The sequence below is a fragment of the Homo sapiens genome, chromosome 17 (genome assembly GCF_000001405.40).
Source record: "Homo sapiens chromosome 17, GRCh38.p14 Primary Assembly".
Taxonomy (NCBI): domain Eukaryota; kingdom Metazoa; phylum Chordata; class Mammalia; order Primates; family Hominidae; genus Homo; species Homo sapiens.
This window is the reverse complement of record NC_000017.11, coordinates 35,698,289-35,723,040: the sequence shown is the minus strand read 5'-3', so window position 1 is coordinate 35,723,040 and position 24,752 is coordinate 35,698,289. Positions and strand designations below refer to the sequence as shown.

At 41.0% G+C, this 24,752-nt stretch overlaps 1 protein-coding gene and 1 pseudogene across 13 annotated transcripts in view; both read right to left on the bottom strand.

Annotated features, from left to right (window-relative positions):
* Nucleotides 1-24,752, bottom strand: part of AP2B1 (adaptor related protein complex 2 subunit beta 1) — a 139,092-nt gene that overhangs the window by 3,373 nt on the left and 110,967 nt on the right. For 7 of the 13 annotated variants that reach the window (XM_011524450.3, XM_047435509.1, XM_011524449.4 and 4 more), the window contains 4 exons: nt 15,032-15,127; nt 13,733-13,817; nt 12,721-12,807; nt 5,692-5,846 (listed from right to left, as the gene is read on the bottom strand). In XM_011524450.3, coding sequence (XP_011522752.1) covers nt 5,692-5,846; nt 12,721-12,807; nt 13,733-13,817; nt 15,032-15,127 — 423 coding nt within the window. The remainder of the gene's footprint in view (nt 1-5,691; nt 5,847-12,720; nt 12,808-13,732; nt 13,818-15,031; nt 15,128-24,752) is intronic. The other 6 variants (XM_005257938.4, XM_047435510.1, XM_005257937.5 and 3 more) reach the window with 1 other exon arrangement.
* RPL17P42 (ribosomal protein L17 pseudogene 42) lies at nt 2,615-3,134 on the bottom strand (annotated as a pseudogene).

Here is a 24,752-nt window from a genome sequence, read left to right as displayed (position 1 = left end):
ACATCAACAGCTTAATCTTTTATTTTCTGCCTCTTTAGACAGGCAAATCAGATACCTCTGATACCCCTCTACCACCACCTCTTCTTTTAGTCTAATGAATACCAAATTAGACATCAATATTAAAAAGATCTTAATGGTGAATATTGAGAATTTCACTTTGTGAGTCAGTAAGGACAAAATTTAAACCCAGATTTAGAATCTTAATTGTATTAGATTAGGCAGAATATTATTAACAATAATATAAGCATGCAAAACGCACTCTAGAACCAGAAAATTTAATAGCTATATATTTTATATTGCTGACATCATTCCTCTTGTTAATTAGGGCAGGTCAACAAAAATTGTCTTGAATGATGTAGCACCGTGAGATTTTAGACTATTTTACCTCTTTATTCTCTTATTAGAGACTAAGGACAATTTAACATAGTGCAAAAGTGAGACTATCTTTGAATAAAAGGTCAAGAAGATTTTGGTCAACGGTGAATTTCCTAAAAACTAACAACCTAAAAAGTTAAAGTAAAATTTAAAATGCAAAAAAACCCCAAACCAAACAAAAGAACATGGGAAGATATTCTATTGATTTACAGCTTTAATATTCAGTCCCCAAGGCATTCCCAAAACTGCTGCTTGGTATTAGTCAGGAAGACAATTCTGATAAATGTAAAAAAAACCAAAACAACTAACTTAAGAATATAGCTATTCCTTATATATAGAAAACAGCTCCCTATTTTGGTCCAAGTTGCATCTTTAGGCATTTCCCTGACTTTCAAACTCCCTATTGAAGCAATTCTTTTTTTGAGACAGAGTCTTGCTCTGTCACCCAGGCTGGAGTGCAGTGGCGTGATCTCAGTACACTGCAACCTCCACCTCCCAGGTTCAAGCAATTCTCCTGCCTGAGCCTCGCGAGTAGCTAGGATTACAGATGCGTGCCACCATACCCAGCTATTTTTTTTTGTCTTTTTAGTAGAGAAGGGGTTTTGCCATGTTGGCCAGGCTGGTCTCGAACTCTTGACCTCAGGTGATCCACCCACCTCGGCCTCCCAAAATGCTGGGATTACAGGCATGAGCCACTGCGCTGGACCTAAAGCAATTCTTGTACCTCCTTCTCTACAGCCTTCTCTACTGCCAGTGTTGTGGAAAATTCTAGTGGGAGAATATGTGGATTCAGAAATGGAAGAGAAGAGGAATCTAAAAAGAGAAACAACAGCTTAAGAGAGTTAACTCCCAGACTAAGGAGAGGTAGTCCCCAAATACTCCCCCAAAATACTATCTTGTATTTTTCCACATCTTTGTAACAATACTTGAAGTTCCTCCAGCTGGAGGTTCATTTTTATGTTTACAACTAGTAAGGAAATGTTGCCTTCCTCAACAATGGCTCAAACTGCCAAGGCTGGCATTGGTGGGAAGTCATGGACTGACCAGACCCTAGGCCCTGGGCATTACCGCTGGTCTTTGGAGGATGGGGAAGAAACTTTCCCTGTGTCTGGACTCTTAATATCCACACCTCCCCACCCCTACCTCCACCCCAGCCTCTGACAAAGTGTCAAGTTTATTACATATAGCTAGGACTCTGGCTCTCATTTTGTATGGCTCCTAGGGAGAAAGAGGCCTTCCTTGGGGCTTAACTTTCCAACTGCTAATTCCTTATGTGACATGTCTTTAACATCAGCCATTCAGGAATCCAGTCCAAACTAGACACACCAAGGGCAGAAGAGTCACCCTGTCCTGCCTAATTAAAATTAAGGGGCTATGCATCCACTTTTGGCATATGGTGTGGAACATACACTGCTTCACGTGGGACAAGTTATCTTTCAGGTGAGGATTACCTACTTACAGAGATATAGCCTCACCCTTATAGGATAAACCTATCTTCTTAATAAAATACAATAAAAACTGGGGTTTGGGGAGAAGTGTTTTATTAACCCCTCTTAGGAGACTAAGGGACCATCAGTCTGTCATGCATTAGTGCTGGCTCAACCCGATTTCTTTCTTAATACTTAGCTCAGATCAGATTAATAGTATAATAGGAACTTAAGGTGATGAAGGGAATGGATCAGAATGACTTTAGAGTCTGCCTCTTTAGATAGGCAAATCAGATACCTCTGATACCCCTCTACCACCACCTCTTCTTTTAGTCTAATGACTAAAAGGGTGCCACTTAGGGGAACAAATTAGACCTATTTGTCAAGTGCTATGATGGGAGATTTAGATGGTATTGTGGGCAGAGAACCTAGTCACCAGACAGGATGAAGAATAGGAAAGAGGGCAAGGAAGTATAAACAAATTCACCATTTAAAAATATGGGGCAGGGGGCGGGTGGGCCAGGTGCAGTGGCTCACGCCTGCAATCCCACCACTTTGGGAGGCCGAGATGGGAGGATCGCTCAAGGCCAGGAGTTTGAGATAGCCTGCACAACATAGCGAGACCCTATCTCTATATTAAAAAAAAAAAAAAAAAAAAAAAAAAATATATATATATATATATATATATATATAAATAAAATAAAAATATATGGGACAAAGGAAGGTGGATGTGGCTAAACCACGAGGACAGAATCTATTTTTTTTAACTTTTATTTGCATTTATTCCATGCTGAATTTATTCCCAGGTTATAAATTTTTGTTTTCTTCAATTTCTTCTGGGATATCTTTTTCTTCCCTGCAACCCTCTCTTCTGGTTTAGGAACAATTTACTCTTTTTCAGTAAGGATCATTTCAATATGTGGCAGGGGAGTTTATGTATGGGTTAATGTGACCTGAGCTCTATAAATACAGCAACATATCCTGGGGCTTTGTTCACCTGGACATGCTCAATGACCAGAGAATCTGCATCTAAACCCTTAGGGTCGGCATTACTCTTTGCCTTTTTAAGCATGTACAGCACAAATTTAGCACTCTTTTTGGGCCACCTGTCATCCTGTGCCCAGCCCGTCTGTTTGGCTTAGGTACACATACCAACTCCACTATAATAATATGGAATGACACACATTGCTTCTATAAAGTGACATCTTTCAAGTACTTGGTGGCTATTTGGATATGCATACCTTTGATGGCCTGGGCACTTCCACGGGTGTTCTTAAAGTAAACATGAAGATTTGAATCTCTTGCTTTGTATGATTTTGGGGGTTTTCTAGGCCAACTGAGCAGAGATCATCTCAGGTCACTTACAGGAAGAGCTCACTGTATTTCTTTAAAAAAAATATGTTTTAATAAAGATGGGGTCCCACTATGTTGACCAGGCTGGTCTTGAACTCCTGTCCTCAAGCGATCCTCCCATTACAGCCTTCCAAAGTGTTGGCATTACAGGCATGAGCCACCACACCAGGTCACTGTATAATTTCTCACAACTACATATGAATTTACAATTACTTCCAAACTTTTGTTTAAATATAAAGGAGAAAATATTCTTCAAAGGATGAATGGAGAAACTGTGGTACATGGACACAGTGAACTATTACTTGGCCATAAAAAAGAACAAGCTATGGATACATGTAACAACTTGGAAGAATGTTATGAGTATTATGTGTGCAAAAAACAATCTTAAGAGGTTACATGTTACATGTGTAATTTATACAACATTCTAAAAATGACACAATTATAGTAATGGAGAAAGGCTGCCGGGGTTAGGGCTGGGGTGAGAGTCTGACCATAAAGGGACAGCAAGAGGAAGTTTTTTTTTTTTGTGGTGACAGAACAAGTCTGTGTCTGGACTCTGGCAGCAGTTATCAAATTGATACATGTAATAAGAGTTCATAGTACTATCCACTACCAATCCCCCACCCCCAAAAGTAATGTAAAAACTGGTGAAATTAGAATAATGTCTATAGTTTAGTTTATTATATTGTACTAATACCTATTTCTTAGTTTTGAAAATGTAGTATGGGTGTGTAAGATGTTATTATTAATGGGGAAAACTGGGTAAAAGAGATGTAGAAACTCTACTGTTCCATTTAAAAAATTTGTTAAGTCTTTATTTCAAAATAAAATACTTTTTAAAATTTTAACAAACTATGTTTAGGACAGTGATACTAAGAAGCTCTTCTCAAAATCAAGAATATTGTGTAAGAAGAGTGTCAAGAAACACCTGAATTCTAAACAAAATTCACCTACCAACAAATTACATGATCTTGAACTAGTCACTAATCATTCTTAGCCATGGTTTACTTATCTGCAACCTGGGAGTAATCATGCTCCTTTAACCTAGCTGAGATGGAAGACTATATACAATAAAATAATGGACAGTAAGCAAAAAGAAAAAAAGGAAAAAAAAAAAACCACACACACCCATATATAAACTTTTGGCAAATTTCTAGAGAGTAAATGGAGTTATTCTCCCCCCAACCCTTTTTTTCTTCCAATTGAGACAAGGTCTCACTATGTTACCCAGGCTGGTCTTGAACTCATGGGCTCAAGTGATCCTCCTGCCTCAGCCTCTCCAGTAGCTGGGATTACAGGCATGTGCTATCTTGGTTTTATAGTAAAACTTGTCCCTCCAGAAACAGCACAGAGGGGTTTTCCTTTCTTGGGAAACTCAAGATAAATGACAGTGTATGTTACTCTCCAAAAGAGATGAGACTGGTGGGGGGTTGGGGAGAGGAGCATACATTTTATGAGGGAAGCCTGAAGTTTTTCAGCTCATAAGTGCTTGGGCAAAAGTCTAACTTGATAGGCCTCAGGAGCGAGCACACACACACACACACACACACACACACACACACACACACACACAGCTACTCCAACTTACTACAAGGATGGGAACTAGTGGGAAAAACACCAAGAATTTTCAGTTCTGGATGGTACTATTCCCTTGATATATGCTAGTGAAAACAGACTTAGCTGTCAAAATTAAGGAACGGGTCACAGAGTTTTCTCAGCTAAATGACTAAAAGGCTCCCTTAAGCTACTGACTATTCAGCTTCCTCAGAAATAAATAGATCCCCATAAAACCCTCAAACATAACAGAGGAATAAGATATTTCTCCCATCCCAAGGGTTTTTCCTTTACTTTTCAAAATGCAGATGACATCCTATTGGGAAATTGCATTTTACAACAGCAAACAAATGCCTAGTGCTTGGCTATCAATCTGCTGTTTAACAAAGCAACTGCTTCTGCCTTATTATTGCCAGAAGTTTTACTTTAGTTCAGTGTGATACTGAAGGAAATTTCCCAAACTAAAGTCCCCTTATACGCTTCCAAAGGTGTGTTCCATTTTGCCTCACCTTTAATAACAAGCATTTCAGGTCATACAATGCTGCTGAAAAAAGCTCATGTGTTAATGACTCTGATAGCCTTAGGTCATGAACTCCAACAGCAAGAAAGGTCTTCTGGACATTAACTATGTAAACAATCCTCTCGGCAGCTTATTATAGTACCACATGCACAGATACACTAGATATGTATTAACTGATATTGAGGATGAAGCTGCCAAGTTTTGTGAGCAACTCTGTATACACCAGGGGGGAGGGATGGATTTGAGGCACTTGCCAGAGATACCATTCCTGTTGGATGGGGCAGACACTGCAGAGAGGAGGTCTTCCATTGAGGCAAATGGAAGCTTCTTCATTGACTACTTATTTTGTATATCTCAGGTTTAAAGCACCTCCTCCAGGTCTTTCTAGGGTGCTAAGTAAACATGAAAGGGCTCTCACCTCCCTCCTCTAATCCATCTCACCCATTCTGAGAAAGGCCTTACCGTGTAATTGGGGTTTCCTGGCTGGATACGTAGTTCGGCCAAAATCCAAATGCCATTAGTGAGCTTCAGGGATTGGTACAGCATGTCCTGCCCTTCCACATTCCTCTTGGCAATAGTATAAACATTGTTGTTTTGCAACTTGCTGGAAACAGTGTCTAGAAATACAGATTCAAAATCCAACACCTTCAGTTAAAATCTCAAACAAATGTACACTCTCTTCTCACATCCTTATGAGCCATGTGTGTTCAGTTCCCTGACAAGTACTGTCACATGGACATGTGTACACTTCAGAAGCCATTCTCCCACACAATAGCAAAAAGTGAAGAACAGGTTCATGACTTGTCTGCCTATCACATTCCAGGACTGAAAACAGAATAAGGTACACCTATGGTTTAGTGCGAGTTACCTTTGGAGATTATGATATTGGTGGGCCTAAGGAGCTGGCAATCTCAAATTAGGTGCTAGACAGGTAAAGAAGACTCTGAAGAGGACAAAGACAGAAATAAGTGTGTGGGTATGCCATAGTGACTGTCATGTTGGTATCTGTTTCTGGATGCTGGTTCCAGATCAATGGGGACACACAGACTGATGACCACATCCATAGTGCTACTTCCCAAGTCACTACTACTTCATTGTGAGCCATTCGGGCCTCAACTGCCAGGATCAGGAAGGGCCCAGAGCTACAGAAGTCAACTGCAAATCAAATTTATTAACCTAGATGTTTAAGATTTTTTTTTTTTCAAAGCAGGCAGAAATGATTTCTTAAGCCTTTAGGGAATACTATGCCTCGAAAATAATAACGAAACAAACTGTCTCAACCACAGATTTTGAGAAAGACTGAAGCTGTGCAAAGGTGACTGCTGCTAGATCCTAAGATCCCAGCTATGACAGAAACTATGACAGAAGTTTTCATAGTCACCAACTCAGGGTAAGAATGGGTTGGTGTTTTGGCTCTTCCTCATGACTACAGTTTCAAAAAGGACATAACGTTCCAGAATTAAAGGTTATTTCTCTCTTTATGAGATGTTGCTGTATCAGAGAAAGAGAAACTTTAAGAATAGAGATGACAAGCACTGCTTCTTTGTTGACTGTTTATTATATTCATTTCTGAAGACAGCATTCAAATTACTCATGCCTACTTCAAGAACTAAATTCTCCCCACATAAAAATCTGTCATATTCTATTGTGCTCTCTGGGAAAAGGTTGCCATGATGGATGGTCTTTCTACCCTTCTAAATGGTAAGCTCTCTGAACAAAGGGATCCTGGAGTTTTTCATCACTGTGTTTCCCACGTTATCTGCAATACAACAGGTACCTTTCATCAATATCTGCTCTGATAGGTGTTGGAGATGCCAATATTTACATAATACCATAGACATAGACGTGAACTAGTTTTGCAGGTAGCTCTCACCCTGATGTCTTTCTCGCACATTCAAACCACTGACAGCTCAGGAGAGGAGGCACTAAGACTCCTTTCATGAGACATTTTTACCACACTTAGTTATTACTTAGCTTTTCCCCTTTTATTTCCAATGTCTTCACTGACACCAAGCAGAGTAGTTAAGAAATGGCTCTATTTGAGGAGTCAAAAAATGTATCTCAGGGTACATCTATGCAATATTGCTGGAAGAAGGGGCCTCAATATGCCCTTTTAATCACCTTGTGGGGGATGAGGCAGTTCTGGTTGCCACCCTGCTTCCCACAATGAAGGGCTCTTGCAGCTTTGAGTGGGTTGCTAGGCAACATCATCAGCTAGGGTTTGGCTAATGCCTTTTGACAGGATTGTCTTGAACACAGAGGGGCTTGCTTTAAGTTGTAAAAATCATTCCTAACTTTCTAGGCCCTTGCCCATTTCCCAGGAAACCCAAAAACACACAAAGTAGGAGCCTTTGTTGAACACCCACCTTGTTGCATAGGCACAAATACATTCTAGCATATACATGTGGCAAGGGCCAGATTCCTACAGAAATAATCATGAAATATTCTCAATTATTTCACCACCTATGTAAGAGATGACAGGCTAAGAAACTCTCTCTGTCTCTCTCTCTCTTATTCTCACTCTTCTAGAATTAGAAAACATGCCAAACAGCCAGGAAGAATAAGCAAGTTGAATGGATGTAACTTTAATACATTTGGAAGCATTCTGGCCAGCAACCTGACTCTGTTCCTAATGAATGACTGTACTGTGATTTTTATCAGAAGACTAGAGAGAGGGTTCCATAACATTAGTATGTGTGATTCGATTTTTATACATTTTAGTTATTAGGTTTGAGTTTGAAGATTTACGGATTGCAGAATGATGAGATTCTGCTAAATGTATGATGAATGGCAAGGGAAGCCAGATATAAGGAGGCTTCCTGGTCTGACTGGGATAGAATTCTTGACAAGATATCATAGTTTTTAATTTTTTAAAACACATTTTGACCTTCTGGGAAACAGGACGGAATCTTATAGTTGTGAGAGTTTGATAATGAGAATGTAATGTAATATTGTTTCACTGTGTGCTGATGATATCATCTGAGGCATAAGACACTGAGATTTATCCCAAAGCATAGAATAAAAAAAGATGGTCAAATATAGTTACCCTTCGTTCAAGATATGATTTCTTTTCTTTTTCCTTCCTTGCTTTCTCTCTCTCTCTCGACAGAGTCTTTCTTTGTTGCCCAGACTGGAGTGCAGTGGCGTGATCATGGCTCACTGCAGTCTCGACCTCCCAGGCTCACATTATCCTCCTGCCTCAGGCTCCCAAAGTGTGGGATTACAGGTGTGAGCCACTGAGCCCAGCCAATATAAGATTTCTTATGGTTCATTTGTATCCTTCCATAAATTTGGCATTTTGAATCTGGGGCCTCAACTCTTAGAAGGTGTCGATGTGATCTTCCTTCTTTTATCTTTCTACTTTAGCTAAGGTCACACATCCTCTGACAGCAACAAGGGTGAAGCAGGTACTCATATTAGAGAGTGGGAATGGGGGAATTTACATCTGGGGCCCTGCTGTGGTATTTATTAGCAAGTTCAAAACCACTATGACTGCTGAAAAGAATGCTTTTTACCATTTAAGCAACCAAATGATAGTTAGGTGCTAGCTGGAAGAGTGTTTCCATTTTTGAAATATTCCAAAGGATGGGGAGAGCCGCAACAAAACAATGAAACAGAATTCACCCTTACCTAGCCCCCATGCTGGAACAAATATTTGTCTCTCATTACAGTACCTAACTAATGAAAATAGATACATTAAGTCTCTGAGCTTTTCTTAATATTATAAACACTTAATTTAAAAAACTGGTTTGTAGAACTGTTCGTCACAAAGATTCCTTTCCAGATATGGCTGGAGATGCAACTACTTCTTGTGCACTTAAGACAGTAGTCCCAGATACCTATTAACCCCAAATGCAGCTGTAATGGTAAGATGTAAAACAGATTCATACAGATCTCCCAACATCCACAGAAATGATCGGTGCTAGAAAGGAGAGACTTCTGTTAGCAGCTTTCTGATCTAACATTTTCTAGTACTTAACACAATTAGCGGCATCATAAGCACTCCCACCATACACTTTTCTCTTAAGATCTGATTAATTATTAAGACTTGGGAAGAGGGTCTCTTTCTTTATTCTCTAGAAAGACATGAAAGAGCAAAGTAAAGCTCAGTGCTAAGTTGGTTAAGTCCTTTAAGCCTGTGACTTCCTGTAGCCCTCAGAGTGTTAGTTCCATCTGTCAAATGTCTATGCTAGCACAGAAAAGCTATTTAAAGTGTTGGTGCTATTGTGATTAGGGCAGATCAGCTGGAAAGGATGGTATTTTTAGCTCTCAGCTAGACCCAGGGTGTTGAATCAGAAGGCACTAAAGCCAAAAACGTTCATGTTAATAGAGCCCTCGAGACTGGAAGGAAATCTAAAGGCCAGGGCACTCCAGACCTGGGGGTGGACTCAAAGGAAGAGCTGGAAAGGATTAGTTGCAGGAAGTGGTCTTGCAAGACTAGCAGTGATTTAATGTGGGAAAATGTTGGCCTTGGACTCCTGGAGAAAATGCAATGACTGTTTTCCCCTATGTTTCATGTGCGGCATGGCCACAGAGCAGTGTATCACTGGAATCTGATTCATTGGTATTTGGAGCACCTACAGCATGGAGCGATTGGCGTGAGGCCATGACAGAATTGATCAAAACTGAATTTGCTCTGAGAAACGACATCAAAGGGCACAGCCCCACTAGGAGAAATGCCAGACACTTCCTCTTTGATAAGATCACAAAAACATGCCGAGGTGCAATAAGAGTTCAAAACTCCAGTCTAAAAGCAGGAGGATTTTTTCTTCTCTGTTATTTTGACAGACCAAAGTCCTCAGTCACCCCAACTTCTATTTTCTTTTTTGAACAACCATGTCCCTTTCATACTGAACATGTCTGAAACAAAACCTGCTTTCCAATCACTCTGGTCTATCTCTGTTCTCTCTCGGAGAGTGTTTTCCAGATCATGTTCAAGGAATACTGGTGGTCCACATGATGTTACTAATAAGTATTTTGTGATTTTAAATTCCAAGGCCAAATAAGTTCAGTTAACACTGAGTTAAATAGGTTTCTTCAGTATAGCACTTCTCAGAACTTTTAGTCTGCTAACGTGCAATGGCAATTTCCAGGTGAAGCCTAGCATATGCTGTATTTTTCAACTTTCATGGATAACAAAACGCTTTTTTTCTTTGTTTTATTTTTATTTTTATTTTTTTTTTGAGACGGAGTCTCGCTCTGTCACCCAGGCTGGAGTGCAGTGGTGCGATCTTGGCTCACTGCAAGCTCCGCCTCCTGGATCCAAGCTGATTCTCCTGCCTCAGCCTCCCGAGTAGCTGAGACCACAGGTGCCCGCCACCACGCCTGGCTAATTTTTTGTATTTTTAGTAGAGACAGGGTTTCACCATGTTAGCCAGGATGGTCTCGATCTCCTGACCTCGTGATCTGCCCACCTCGGCCTCCCAAAGTGCTGGGATTACAGGCATGAGCCACTGTGCCCGGCCCAAAACCCTTTTTCATAAGGGAAAAGTGTTCTGAGGAACATTCTATTTGAAATGTTGCCATTGAACCAACTCCCACAAAGGTGAATATAACCAGGGGCCTGGTCTCTTCCTAGCTGGGTACAGAGGTGGCTCCTCTAATAGGATCCACCAGTGAGCCTCAAAGTGAGGGAAAGATGACACTGTCATCTTCTTCAAATATGACACAAAATGAAAAAAATCAATTATTACTGAATTAATTGAAACAATTAATTATTATGATGGAAATTACAGAAGACCATGCTTCAAACACCTCTCCAAGAGCTCCAGAGACGTGAAACAATTATCAGAGGCAAACATCTGCCTGAAGTTTCTATATGCAAAGATGCCTGTCTGAATGTCTTTTATTCTGAGGGTTCCAGGAGGGCTTCAGTCTCCTGAATGTCTCAGAGAGGGCCTATAGGAGCATCACATTTAAAAGAGGTATCACAGGATAAAGCTGATCACTATGATGTTGGATTTCAAAAGCCCTATAAGATTCATCTGAACACAGAAGATGAATATTACATAGAGCCATAAAAAACTAAAATTAAAAAGCTGGGCTGGGTGCAGTGGCTCATGCCTGTAATCCCAGCACTTTGGGAGGCCGAGGCGGGCGGATCACAAGGTCAGGAGATCAAGAACATCCTGGCTAACAGGGTGAAACCCCGTCTCTATTAAAAAAATACAAAAAAATTAGCCGGGTGTGGTGGCTGGCGCCTGTAGTCCCAGCTACTCTGGAGGCTGAGGCAGGAGAATGGCATGAACCCGGGAGGCGGAGCTTGCAGTGAGCCGAGATTGTGCCACTGCACTCCAGCCTGGGCAATGGAGCGAGACTCCATCTTGGGCCGGGGAGTGGGGTGGGGGAAGCTGGAATGAGAAGGCATTATTTTGTGTGTGTGTGTGTTTTTTTTTTTTTTTGCTTTCTGTGCTGCCGTGTTGCCTCCTTTCCCCAGTGCTATGCTCCAGCTGCAATGGGAGGATGGCAATGTGCTGGAAATCCCTTATGAGAACCACCAATGTATGCAGGAGTAAATGAGGGGTAAATGAGGAAAGAGGAGGTACCGACCAAGCACCAAGGCTCACTTTCATTCAAACTCACAAAGCCTAGTACTAACTTCAAAAGGAGAGAAAGAAAGAGCTCTAAAGAGAAAGAGAGAGCAACAGTGAAACAAAGGCAGGACTCTAAATAACTTAGGGCTCCTTTCATTCCTGAGAAATCCTTCAGAGAAACACAGCCCAAGGGACTAATAGCTGCTATTGTTTCTCTTCTTGGGATACCCCTTTCATGTTCTTTTACAGTAACAAAGTTAACTATGAAAGAGTACGGAGCTCTTTAATGGTGATTAAAGAGGTTAGTATCATCATATGAAAGGTGGCACAGGGCAGTGTAGTAAAAGGTTACCAACTAGGCTTTTTTTTCTTTTATAGAGATGGGGTCTCACTATGTTGTCCAGGCTGGTCTTGAACTGGACTCAAGAGATCCTGCCATCTTGGCCTTCCAAAGTGCTGGGATTACTGGTATGAGCCACCATACTTGGCCCAACGAGGCTTTCACTAATGATGATACATTATTTCATTATAAACACAGGGTTCTAAGTACAGAATCTAAGAAAGAAAGTTAACCTTCCTCCAACACCAAAAATTGATATAAAAGAAGAAAATGGTCCTTTCAATTACTAAGGGAGTGCATGTTCTCAAGTGCCACTTCAGTTTTTGATTATTAGGATGTTTAAGTAACAGAACTAACACATCTTTAGTGAAGAAATGGGTAGATGGGTCGATTCTAGCTTGTTTCTTAAATGTTAGCTTGTAAGTAATCTAGTACCTACATCAAAACATATCACGTTTTTAAACAGAGGTTTGCAAAGTAATGCATCTACCATATATACCCACTAGAAACATAGTAGATACGGGGGAGGATAAAAGGGTAGGCAAAAGAAAGATTAAAATTTCAAATATCTAATTTGATTTACTAAGATGAAACTGAAATTTAGAGTATATTACTCACCAGCATTTAAATGACATTCCTTAATCTGAAACTGAAGTTCATTTTCATTGGGAATATCCTTCCATGTTGCAAGGAAGACCTGGCGCTCTGTATGGGAAAGCAGAGGGGAAGGATGGATGTGCATAAGCTGTCAGTATTCTGATTTTCGATGCCTTGCATCATTTTTCCTTTGGCATGCTGGCTCTTGCAATACAGCTAGCAGCAGGCTGGGAATGGAGCCAATGCTGAGCTCTACAAAAGTGCTATACTTCAGATCAATTAATCCGTCATCAGTAACACTAGGATAATTGGAAAAGAGTCTATATCTAGGGTTTCATTTTGGCTCCCTTGTTTTCCTATTTTGGTGACTTATGACCTTTCTGAGCCTTAATTTCTTTATCTATAATTACATCTGTCCTGCCTACTCCAAGAGCTATTGTAAGAATCAAATCAATTAAGTGCCAACATAGTTTAATATGCACCAATATAAGCCAGTTTTATTAGATTGTGATTCATAAATAAGGGAAGAGAGAAATGTCAATAGGCACATCGGGAGTTCTGACGGTTTATTACAAATTACTGAATTCTTAGCTTGAGGCAGTATGAACTTAGTACAGAGTAAAGTGCTAAATTTACATGTATTATCTCATGAAATAATTATAAAAATTATTTACACTGCAAATTTGGAAGCGGAAGTTCCAAAAAGTTTATCACCTTGACCAGTCACACAGCAAATAAATAGCAGAGCTGAGATTCAAATCCATATTTACCTGGTCCCCAAACCTCTTATTCTGTATCCTGGGGTGACTGGATTATTCAGATATTGGGCACTGTGATTTAGAGACCAATGGCAGAGCAAGAACAATTGTGACACAGGAGAATAAATAATGAGCAATTATTAAGAGCTTTAGAATATCCTTAACCCATTTTTTTTTAACCTCAAAATAACTCAAAACTTCTGGGGCTATGCTCTGCCTGACATGCACAGGAAGGGCAAAGGTATATTCAGCAGGACAGGCAGGAAGGTACTTACCCATTTTGCCATCTTCTACAAAAAGCACATTGAGTGGGATGAGGCAGCTGAAGTAGAAGACATCGATATTGTTTTTCACAGCCACCTGCCAGGAAAGCAACAAGGTCAAATGAGGACATCGCAGGGAGCCAGGTAGGAGGAAAAGAACAGCGCTGTGTCTAGAAATAGGCCTCCCTATTTCCTTCCTCTTTCTCTCAGTGCAGGTCTCCCCAAATCAAACAAACTGGCCCATATACTGCAAAGCACACCCTTACTTACTCCATTGTCATAGAACTGTGACAACCTGCAACTCTACCTCCTTCCAGAAGGCCTGTCTTCAAGGCACAACTTGTATACCAGGAATAATCTAGTCTGTGATTTTTTTCTCTATGATTATTAATAGTAGCTGCTACCACTTACTAAGTTACCTATTAATGATATTATTTCTAACTCACACTATAATGATCTCAAACAAAGTAGATATCATTCCCCTCTCATTTCGCAGATAATGAAACTCAGGTTTAGAAAGACTAAGTAACATCCAGAGTCATGTAGCTAGTACACAGAAGAATTACGATTCAAACAGAAACTTGACGCTAAACCTTGATTTTTATTTCTCCCCACAATAACTAGTGCCATACTATCTCTTATTTTTTATTTTTTTAAATATCAGTTTTAAAGTTGTTTCTTTTATAAAACCTTATTTCCCAGGTCTTATGGTTGGAAAAAGCTTGTTTGGCCCAACACTGGTAAACCTGATGACTATAAGAACAAAAAACCTTTAAGCGAGCAAATAAATAAATTTTCTTCTCACAATACAAACTTCTCGACTATGATTCTACCATAGCCTGCTTAATTCAGAGCATCCTGTTTGTTTGTTTTTTTTTTTTAAAGCTACAGTAAGTACTTTTATTCAGGGCAACACTGATTGGTATATACATTCAGGAACAGGCAGATTGCACAGCAGCACATCATAAGGCCCTTATACTGTAAGAAGAGGGAGTAGGAGGAGACTTGCTCTAAGTCACCACCTCCCACTGGTTTCTGTCACTAATGACTTTCCTATCTATGCTCTTAGCGCTGTAGGAAAACATTTATCTGAGCAAGTTCTATGATCAGTAACTATACCTGTTTCTTTCTCATTTTGCTCTAAAAACAGAGTTAAAAAGTGCTTATCTAGTACACTATTCTCACTCTCTGTCTTTTATGGCAAATGTCTACACTTCAACAGCATACTGACCTCTTAAAACTGTGGCTATGAGATCCAAATATCCTCTTTCTAAAGTACTTCCAGTCCTTCTACATTTAGTATCAACTTACCTTCCTTACTTTAAATGGTGCCTGTATTCCCTTCTCCATAATATTTGCGTTCTCTCTCCCAGAAGTGTCCATCCAATTATTCTCCTTGCTTTTAACCTGTCAACTAACAAGGCTAGGAGTTTGTGACCTATATATAACATGGCCTGATGCCCAAAATGCTGAGATAGGATTCTCAAAAAGCTTGAATCTGGGGAATTTAAGCAGAGTAATGTCAGGAAAGAGGAACTAAAGGCATTCTTTAGGATGTACTAGAGCATGGGTGGGTGCAGTGGCTCACGCCTGTAATCCCAGCACTTTGGGAGGATGAGGCAGGCAGACCACTTGAGGTCAGGAGTTCAAGATCAGCCTAGCCAACGTGAAGAAACCCCGTCTCTACCAAAAATACAAAAATTAGCTGGGCGTGGAGGCGCGTGGCTGTAGTCCCAGCTACTCAGGAGGCTGAGGTGGGAGAATAGCTTGAACTTGGGAGGTGGAGGCTGCAGTGAGCTGAGATAGCGCCACCGCACTCCAGCCTGGGTGACAAAGCAAGACTCTGTCAAAAAAAAAAAAAAAGGGGGGAAGCCGGGCACGGTGGCTCACGCCTGTAATCCCAGCACTTTGGGAGGCCAAGGCAGGCAGATCACGAGGTCAGGAGACCGAGACCATCCTGGCCAACATGGTGAAACCCTGTCTCTACTAAAATACAAAAAATTAGCCAGGTGTGGTGGCACATGCCTGGAGTCCCAGCTACTCAGGAGGCTGAGGCAGAAGAATCGCTTGAACCTGGGAGGCAAGGCTGCAGTGAGCCGAAATCGTGTCACTGCACTCCAGCCTGGTGACAGAGCAAGACTCCGTCTCAACAACAAAAAACAAAACAACAACAACAACAACAACAAGGGATGTACCAGAGCACTACTTTCAAAGATTGATGCCAGCCGTGGGCTTCCGGGAAAGAGTATTTTCTAACTCATCTGGTACTTGGCAGGTAAGGGAGGAGAATTCTTATTTCAAATAAGGGCACCAAGAAGATCTTGAGACAGCGCTAGGCTCTGTAAAGAACATTTAGAAGTGAAAACTGGGGCCGGGTGTGGTGGCTCATGCCTGTAAGCCCAGCACTTTGGGAAGCTGAGGCAGGCAGATCACCTGAGGTCAGGAGTTCGAGACCAGCCTGGCCAGATGGTGAAACCCCATCTCTACTAAAAATACAAAAAAATATATATATATTAGTTGGGTGTGGTGGCGGGCACCTGTAATCCCAGCTACTTGGGAGGCTGAGGCAGGAGAATCACTTGAACCCGGGAGGCAGAGGTTGCAGTGAGCCGAGATTGTGCCATTGCACTCTGGCCTGGGTGACAAGAGTGAACTGCCTCAAAAAAAAAAAAGTGAAAACTGGGGTGATGGGGGTAGGCTAATGGTGGGTCATGTAAAGGTCTCATGTGAAATGCAAGTGATTATCTTTGACTATAAAGTAGTATCCCCATTCTCTAGAGGATAATATTAGTGGTTCTTAACTGAAGACCTGTATCAGAATCATCTGGAAAGGCTTTTCAAAACAGATGCCAGGCCCTACCCTACATGAAATAATTACAATCTCTGAATCTGGGACCTGGCATAAATATTTGGGAAAAAGTTCCCAGGAAGATCAACCGGATAAGCAATTAATTTAGAACATTGTTATCTAAGAAGTCTGAATGGGTTTGTAAACATCTTGTTCTTCCAAAAGAATCCTTATGCCAACAGGAGCCTTTTAACAATGGAAAGGACACAAAAAGGTCCTCTAGGTAAGTGGTGCTAAACTGTTCTGCACTGTAGACCCTTTGGACAAACAGAGGAAAGCCACTGACTCTCTTGCTGAAAAATGTACACACAACATTTTGCCATAGAATTTCAGGAGTTTTGGGACACCCTGAGGGCTTTCCTGGGACTTCTACTGTAGAACAATTTTCTGAGGAGCTAGGATACCCACACATCAGAAGCGGCAGATACAGAGGTTCACAGCATGGACTTGGGAGCCAGAACACCTGATTTCAAATTCTGACTCTGACAGTTTCCTGTCTGTAAAATGTAGATCACAAAGTACTAAATTCATGGGGTTGTTATGAGGATAATGAGTTAATATTTGCACAGCACAGTGAACAGCCTTGACTCATAAGTACTGTAGAAAGTGTCTGTTCAAAAAAGAAAAATTCGGCTGGGCACAGTGGCTCACGCCTGTAATCCCAGCAGGCGTGAGCCACCATGTGAGCCTTGGGAAGCTGAGGCAGGCGGATTACCTGAGGTGAGGAGTTTGAGACCAGCCTGGCCAACAAGGCAAAATTCCATCTCTACTAAAAATGCAAAAATTAGCTGGGCGTGGTGGCATGCACCTGTAGTCCCAGCTACTCAGGAGGCTGAAGTGGGAGAATCAGTTGAACCCAGGAGGCAGAGGCTGCAGTGAGCTGAGATTGCACCACTGCACTCCAGCCTGGGCAACAGAGCAAGGCTCCATCTCAAATAAAAAAAAAAAATTTCACTCTGCTTTCACCATCTCCTGTTTTACCTTTTTTACTCAGCATCCTAATTAAGGATAACCACATTAGACTTATCTGAAATCTTACATATGCTCAGATGTAGTACTACTATTATGTTAAAAAAGAGATTAGAAGAGACTTTTTAAAAGGCTTATCGGCAGATTGTTAGCTTAATGATTCCTTTTGCTACTGCCTTGGTAAATTGTCATCTCTTTATAGGATCAACTACACAGGTCATTCATTGGGGGAAGCAGTTCATCTCTTTTACATTAGCTTTTCAAAATCTGTATTTTGCAGCTCTCATATTTTCACTCTAGGCTAGAACTGGGTTCATTTCAGTAACATAGGCTTCCCCAGATCTGACTCCAGACTACCTCTCCAGCCTATTTCCTTAACTTCAACCACATCAAAATTACTTCTTATTCCCCAAACACTGAAAGTCACAGCTTTGTACCTTTTTTATATGTTGTTCTTTCTTTTTTCTTTTTTTGAGACAGAGTCTGGCTCTGTCACCCAAGCTGGAGTGCAATGGCGCGATCTCGGCTCACTGCAACCTCCGCCCCCCGGGTTCAAGCGATTCTCCTGCCTCAGCCTCCTGAGTAGCTGGGATTACAGGCGTGTGCCACCACGTCCACCTAATTTTTGTATTTTTAGTAGAGACGGGGTTTCACCATGTTGGTCAGGCTGGTCTCGAATTCCTGACCTCGTGATCTGCCCACCTCAGCCTCCCAAAGGGCTGGAATTACAGGCGTGAGCCACCGCACCCAGCCTATATGTTGTTCTTTCTGCTTAATATTTTCTTCTCCTTAAGCTTAGCACTGTCTGGAAAATACCTATTTAACCTTAAGGTTCAGTTCAAGATTAACACTTCCCAGAAAGCTCTAACACCTCCCCACAGCACCCAACGCATACAATTCTATGATAGCATATAATAATGGCTTACTTCCGGCTCACCTATAATACAATGAGCTCCTTGAGTGGAGGGTCTGTCTCTCATCTTCGCTAGCATATTGACTACCTCAAAAAATATTTGTTGCATGAAAATAAGTGGAAGATGTTGAACAAATAAAAATGAAACACTGTGTTTCTCAACATTTTTTCTACCTCCATATCATTCATATACATAACAGAATCCCATCAGCAACATCTCTGATTAGGCACACTGATTCTCAATGAGGCAGGAATGGGGGGATGGGATGATGTATGGGTTCTTTTGGTTTCAAATCACTGAGTTAAATAATATCTACATGCTAAGAAAGGACAACACAGGTAGTGGATCACAACCCAAAGAATGCTAGGTCCTCCAAGGATATGCCAATCATATTTTGGGTGTTAAAAAAGAACCAAGGGAAAAACACAGTATGAAGCCAGTTTAATTCCAATCCTGATGCTGATTGCTCTTAAATATAACTAAATCAGCTTTAAAGAGCATGATATTGTTGTTGGAGGGAGACAGGAAAAGAGAAAGACAGTTTCTTGTTTTCTTATTTAAAAATTCACTATCCCAACAGGTAGAGATAGTAGGAAGATATAATCCAGACAAGTTCTAAACTATTTTCCAAAAGCTATAACATCATGCCTAGATTGCTTGAGGGAAATCAATGATCACATATATAACCAACTGCCTACTTAATATCTTCACTTGGATAATAGGTTGCTCAAAAAGAATATGTCTAAAACTGAACTTTTATTTCAAGTTCAGGGGTACATGTGCAGGCTTGTTACATAGGTAAACTTGTGTCATCAGATTTGCTGTACAGCTTATTTTATCACCCAGCTATTAAGCCTAGTACCCATTAGTTATTTTTCCTGATCCTCTCCCTTCTCCCACCCTCCACCCTCTAGCAGACCCCAGTGTGTGCTATTCCCCTCTTTGTGTCCATGTGTTCTCATCGTTTAGCTCCCACTTACAAGTCAGAACATGTGGTATTTGGTTTTATGTTCCTGTGTTAGTTTGCTAAGGATAATAGCCTCCAGCTCCATCTATGCTCCTGCAAAGGACATGATCTCATTCTTTTTTATGGGTGCATAGTATTCCACGGTATACATGTACCACATTTTATTTATCCAGTCTATCACTGATGGGCATTTAGGTTGATGCCATGTCTTTGCTATTGTGAATAGTGCTGCAATGAACATAGGTGTGCATGTGTCTTTATGATAGAATGACTTGTATTCTTTTGGGTATATATCCAGTAATGGGATTGCTGAGTCGAGTGGTATTTCCATTTTTAGGTCTTTTTTTTTTTTTTTTTTGAGATGGAGTCTGGCTCTGTCACCCAGGCTGGAGTGCAGTGGCGCAATCTCGGCTCACTGCAAGCTCCGCCTCCCAGGTTCACGCCATTCTCCTGCCTCAGCCTAGCTGGGACTACAGGCGCTGGCCACCACGCCCGGCTAATTTTTTGTATTTTTAGTAGAGATGGGGTTTCACCGTGTTGGCCAGGATGGTCTCGATCTCCTGACCTCATGATCCACCTGCCTCGGCCTCCCAAAGTGCTGGGATTACAGGCGTGAGCCACCGCGCCCGGCCCATTTTTAGGTCTTTGAGGAATCACCACTGTCTTCCACAAGGGTTGAATTAATTTACATGCTCTTCAATAGTGTATAAGTGTTGTGTTTTTCTCTACAACCTCACCAGCATCTGTTATTTTCAAAAATTTTTTTAATAATAGCCATTCCAACTGGTGTGAGATAGTATCTCATTGTGGTAAAACCAAACTCTTAATCTCCCCTCCCCACCTCCAAATACAACCTCCTGCTGTCTTTCCAAACTCGGTAACTACTATGGGATTCTGCAAAGCCTTTAACAGTCTCTCTGCCTCTCCACTAGTCTTCCAGCCACATCCCCCTATACATTCCCTTCACAGCACCTAGCTTCCCCAGTATATGCTCAACATAGCAGCCAGAGTGATCTTAAAATGTAGGTCAGCTCATAAATATTTCTCTGCTCAAACCTTTCCATCTCACTCAGAATAAAAACCAAGTTGCAATTGCCTATAATCCAACTCCTCCAACCTCTCTGAGGTCGTGCTAATACTCTCCTCCTTGCTAGCTCTAATCCAGCTGCAGGAGCCTGTTGTTCCTTCCTTGCACATAGCAGGTACACTCCTACTTCATGGCTTTTTGCATTTGCTGTTTCTTCTGTCTACAATGCTCTTCCTCCAGAAATCCATGATTCTTTCCCTGTCTCCTTTGAGTCTTTGCTTTAACCAAATATTATCTTTTCAGATAGGTCTTCCATGACCAACATATTTTTGTAAAACTGTACCACCCAACCTCCAACTCCAGTTTATATTTTTCCACTGTCCCAATACTTCTTTTATATTTTTCCACTGTCCTCCCTACCATCTGATATACTATGTATTGTACTGATTTGCCGGTTTATTGCCTGTCCCCATGCCACATACCCCACTTGTGGTAGAATATAAATTCCATGAGGGAAAGAATTCCTGTCTTCTATTTGTCACAATATTCTCAGTTTCTAGAATAGTGACTGGCACAGAATAGGTGCTGAGTAAGAATAACAGTTGTAAAATAAACTATACAAAGTTTCTGACCTCACTTGGGTTTACACAATAATGAACTTAAAAGTTCTATGGGGCTTGGTACAGTGGCTCACTCCTGTAATCCCAGCACTATGGGAGACCAAAGGCGGAAGGAGGATCACTTAAGGCCAGGAGTTCGAGACAAGCTTGGGCAACCTAAGTGAGACCTTGTCTCTATCAAAACAAAACAAAAAAAGCTGACTGCAGTGGCATGAGCCTTTGGTCCCAGTTACTCAGGAGGCTGAAGCACGAGGATAAGAGGATAGGAGGATAGGGGTCCAGGAGTTCAAGGTTACAGTGAACTATGACTGCACCACTGTACTCCAGCCTGGGCAACAGAGTGAGATCCTGTCTCACAAACGAACAAACAAGTCCCAAAAGCACAGTACTTCTCACATTTTTCTAGTGTATTTCCCGTAATAGAAGAGGAAAGAATGGACACATACTGTGAAGGAGGCATGGGGCTGGGTCAAGATTAGGGGTATAATATGAAGTAGACTATCATAAGAACAAAATATCTTTGAAGTTCCATGCTAAATCCCATAATGTACCCATATATGTTTTAATATGTGTTTCTCTCTTTACCTTTCAATAAAACTGATGCTCTAGGAAAATGTGCTATTGTGTATCCTTTAGCTTCAAGTATCCCTAGCTTGGTGGGTCATGACCAACCGGTAGTTCTTAAAATTAACTAAGTGGGTTCAAACTGGCATTAAAAAAATAAAATGAAAAATATCACAGTGCATCTCATGAAGAGTAAGTAATATTTCCTGAAACTGTTCAGTTTTACATATTGTGTGTGTATACACTATGTAAAATACATTTCTTACTGTAAGTTGCAGTCAAAAAAGTATAAAAGCCACAATACACACACACTAAAGCAAGCAGTGAGAAAATGGGTTCAATGAGTGAAGGAAGAGAATGCACACCTCAGCTTCTGCTTTGAGAATGCCCAAAGCAGATCACAGATGGTACCAAGAAGATTACCTAACCCTCTGTTTCTTTGGTATGTCATGTGCAACATGTGACCATAACAATATTAACTTGCTTTTTAGGGACATCAATAGGAAAGCAAACAGAAATTATAAGGCACTTTGAAAACACAAAAGCAGGCTATAAATGCTTAATAATAACAATGATTGTTTAAAGTTACTTTAAGAGGCTGCTAAGGAAAGAACAACCTGTCAGCTTAAGCCTGTAACCAGCAATTAGTTTCTTTCCATAGTATAGAAAGCCTGCTGCAGGAGCTACAATCTCTTTATGGTGGGACAGCTGGAGATGAACAGGCTAAATTAATATTCTAACCTTGTACCAGTATACTCAAAAGTACTATAAAAAGGTATAACATGAACTCAGTCTGAACTCTGGCAAATGAGGCCTCTTACCCGACCTCTCACCACAGGTAACCAAAGGAGGCACTGCCACAAGGAAAACCAAGTGAAATAGTACAGGGCTCGCCTTTGAGATTATATCATCTGCTCTTCCATAACGTCACTTGTGACCTTTCCACATTTCTGAAGAATTATTTTTTTCTTTTATTTCTCTTCTCCTTTTAGCTTTTGGAATGATTATATGCAGGCTGGTCCAAGCTAGGACCAGGCAGTGACGTCAACCATCTCCAGTTCTCTGAGGAATGATGATTCAGATGTGTTTTAAGTACCACACAACCTAGTCAACAGATCCTAGGGGAATGGCTCGGAGTGACAGGTTTTTAATGGTACTTACTCCAACTATGTGATATATATCATCTGAGACTCAAGCAGAAGCGGCCGTTTCTGCTAGGTGCTGGAGTTAAATTAACATGTAGTTCTGCATTTCTAATCAACGCCAAAAGGTATCTACCATCTTAAGTTTATTTTATTTATTTTAATTTCTTTTTTGATACAGGGTCTTGCTCTGTCACCCAGGCTGGAGTGTGGAGGCATAATCACAGCTCACTGCAGCCTTGACCTCCTGGGCTCAAGTGATCCTCCCATCTCAGCCTCGTGAGTAGCTGAAACTACACGCATGTGCCACCATGCTTGGCTAACTCTGTTATTTTTGTAGACACTAGTCTACATACTGGAATAGACTAGACATACTAGTCTTACTATGTTGCCCAGGCTAGTCTCAAACTCCTGGACCCCAAGCGATCCTCCCACCTTGACCTCCCAAAGTGCTGGGATTACACAGGCATGAGCCACTGTGCTTGGTGACCCAAAGTTTAAATAGCATTTCAAACTCTATTGACCAATGAATTATCTGGGAATTCTCAGAGACCCTGACAAAACAGAAAGGTCTATTTATGATATTAGACAGTATCTGATAGAGTTAAAAACATAGCAGAAAGAGTAATGAACCACAGGAAATGTCAATTGACTTTCCTTCCAGTGCTAATTCCATTTTAAACTGGACAGCGTCTTTAGTTCACTTCCAAGGCTAGGATTCAAACAAGAACTCTCTTCCCATATTCTTTCTCAGTCCACCCAATAGATCAGGGGTATTACATGATAGCTGAGGAGGCCTCAAATGGTACCAAACTGCTGTTCATCCTGAGTATAAAGCCATACTGATTTATTCTCAGGAGACATTAGGACATTGTTCGTTAAGAGTATGTGAACAGTGGAACCCTTTATAGGGAAAATTTGACAGATTAGGCAGTGGTTCCATGTCCCTAATATGCACTTCAGCGTTTGAAGTTTCCATATTTAAACAGTTCTCAGAACCAGAAATGAAAGCTTTGAACAGAGCCCTCCAGATGATCTCTAAAATTGTAAATCCTCTAGTAGCACATATAATTATTGGGCTTTAAAAAGGCAATGAGCTCCTAAGAGCCAATCTCTCTTAGTAAAGCCTTGATTCGAAAGGAAGCCAACAGAAACCAAAAGACACTGAAACTGAAATACTATGACTTCTCCTGTAGTACCCATTCTGCTATGAGATCTGCTTAATCTCAATCTCAAAAAACTCTCAAATAATTTAGACCATAAATTAGAAATGTCAGCAAATTAAATCTTCAGAACACTAAAGATTAGATAAAGATTGTAAAGTGGTATGAATAGACATTGCTTTAAAAGACTTTGGATTAAACTGTCAAAATCACCATTTGGGCAGGAGTAAATTAGAATGACGAACCTTCAGGGCTGTCAAATGGGAGTCCAAAGCACAGCAAGGTCAGAACTACTCAAATCAAATTTTGTTAACTATTTTGCAACTGAAATAGATTCTCAAGTACTTCTTTAAAAGAGAATCCCCCACCCTGCCCCTGTAAAGCCATTTGGAAAAAGGGTGAGTAGGTCACAATTTTCATGAAAGACTACCTTTGTGGAGGATAGAAAAAGTAGCCCACCCATAGCCATCACTGCAGCCATCTAAACTGTGGAGGCCAGGCATGGCTCACACCTGTCTGTGATCCCAGCAATTTGGGAGGCCAAGGCAGAAGACTGCTTGAGCCCAGGAGTTTCAGACCAGCCTGGGCAACATGGTGAGATTTCATCTTTACAAAAATAAAAATAAAAAATTAGCCAGGCATGGTGGTGCACACCTACAGTCCCAACTACTGGTCAGGTTGAGGTGAGACAATTGCTTGAGTCTGGGAGGTCAAGGCTGCAGTAAGCTGTGATCACGCCACTGCACTCCTGCCTGGGAGACAGTGTGAGAATGCTGTCTCCAAAAAACAAAACAAAACAAAAAAAAACACCCTCAAAG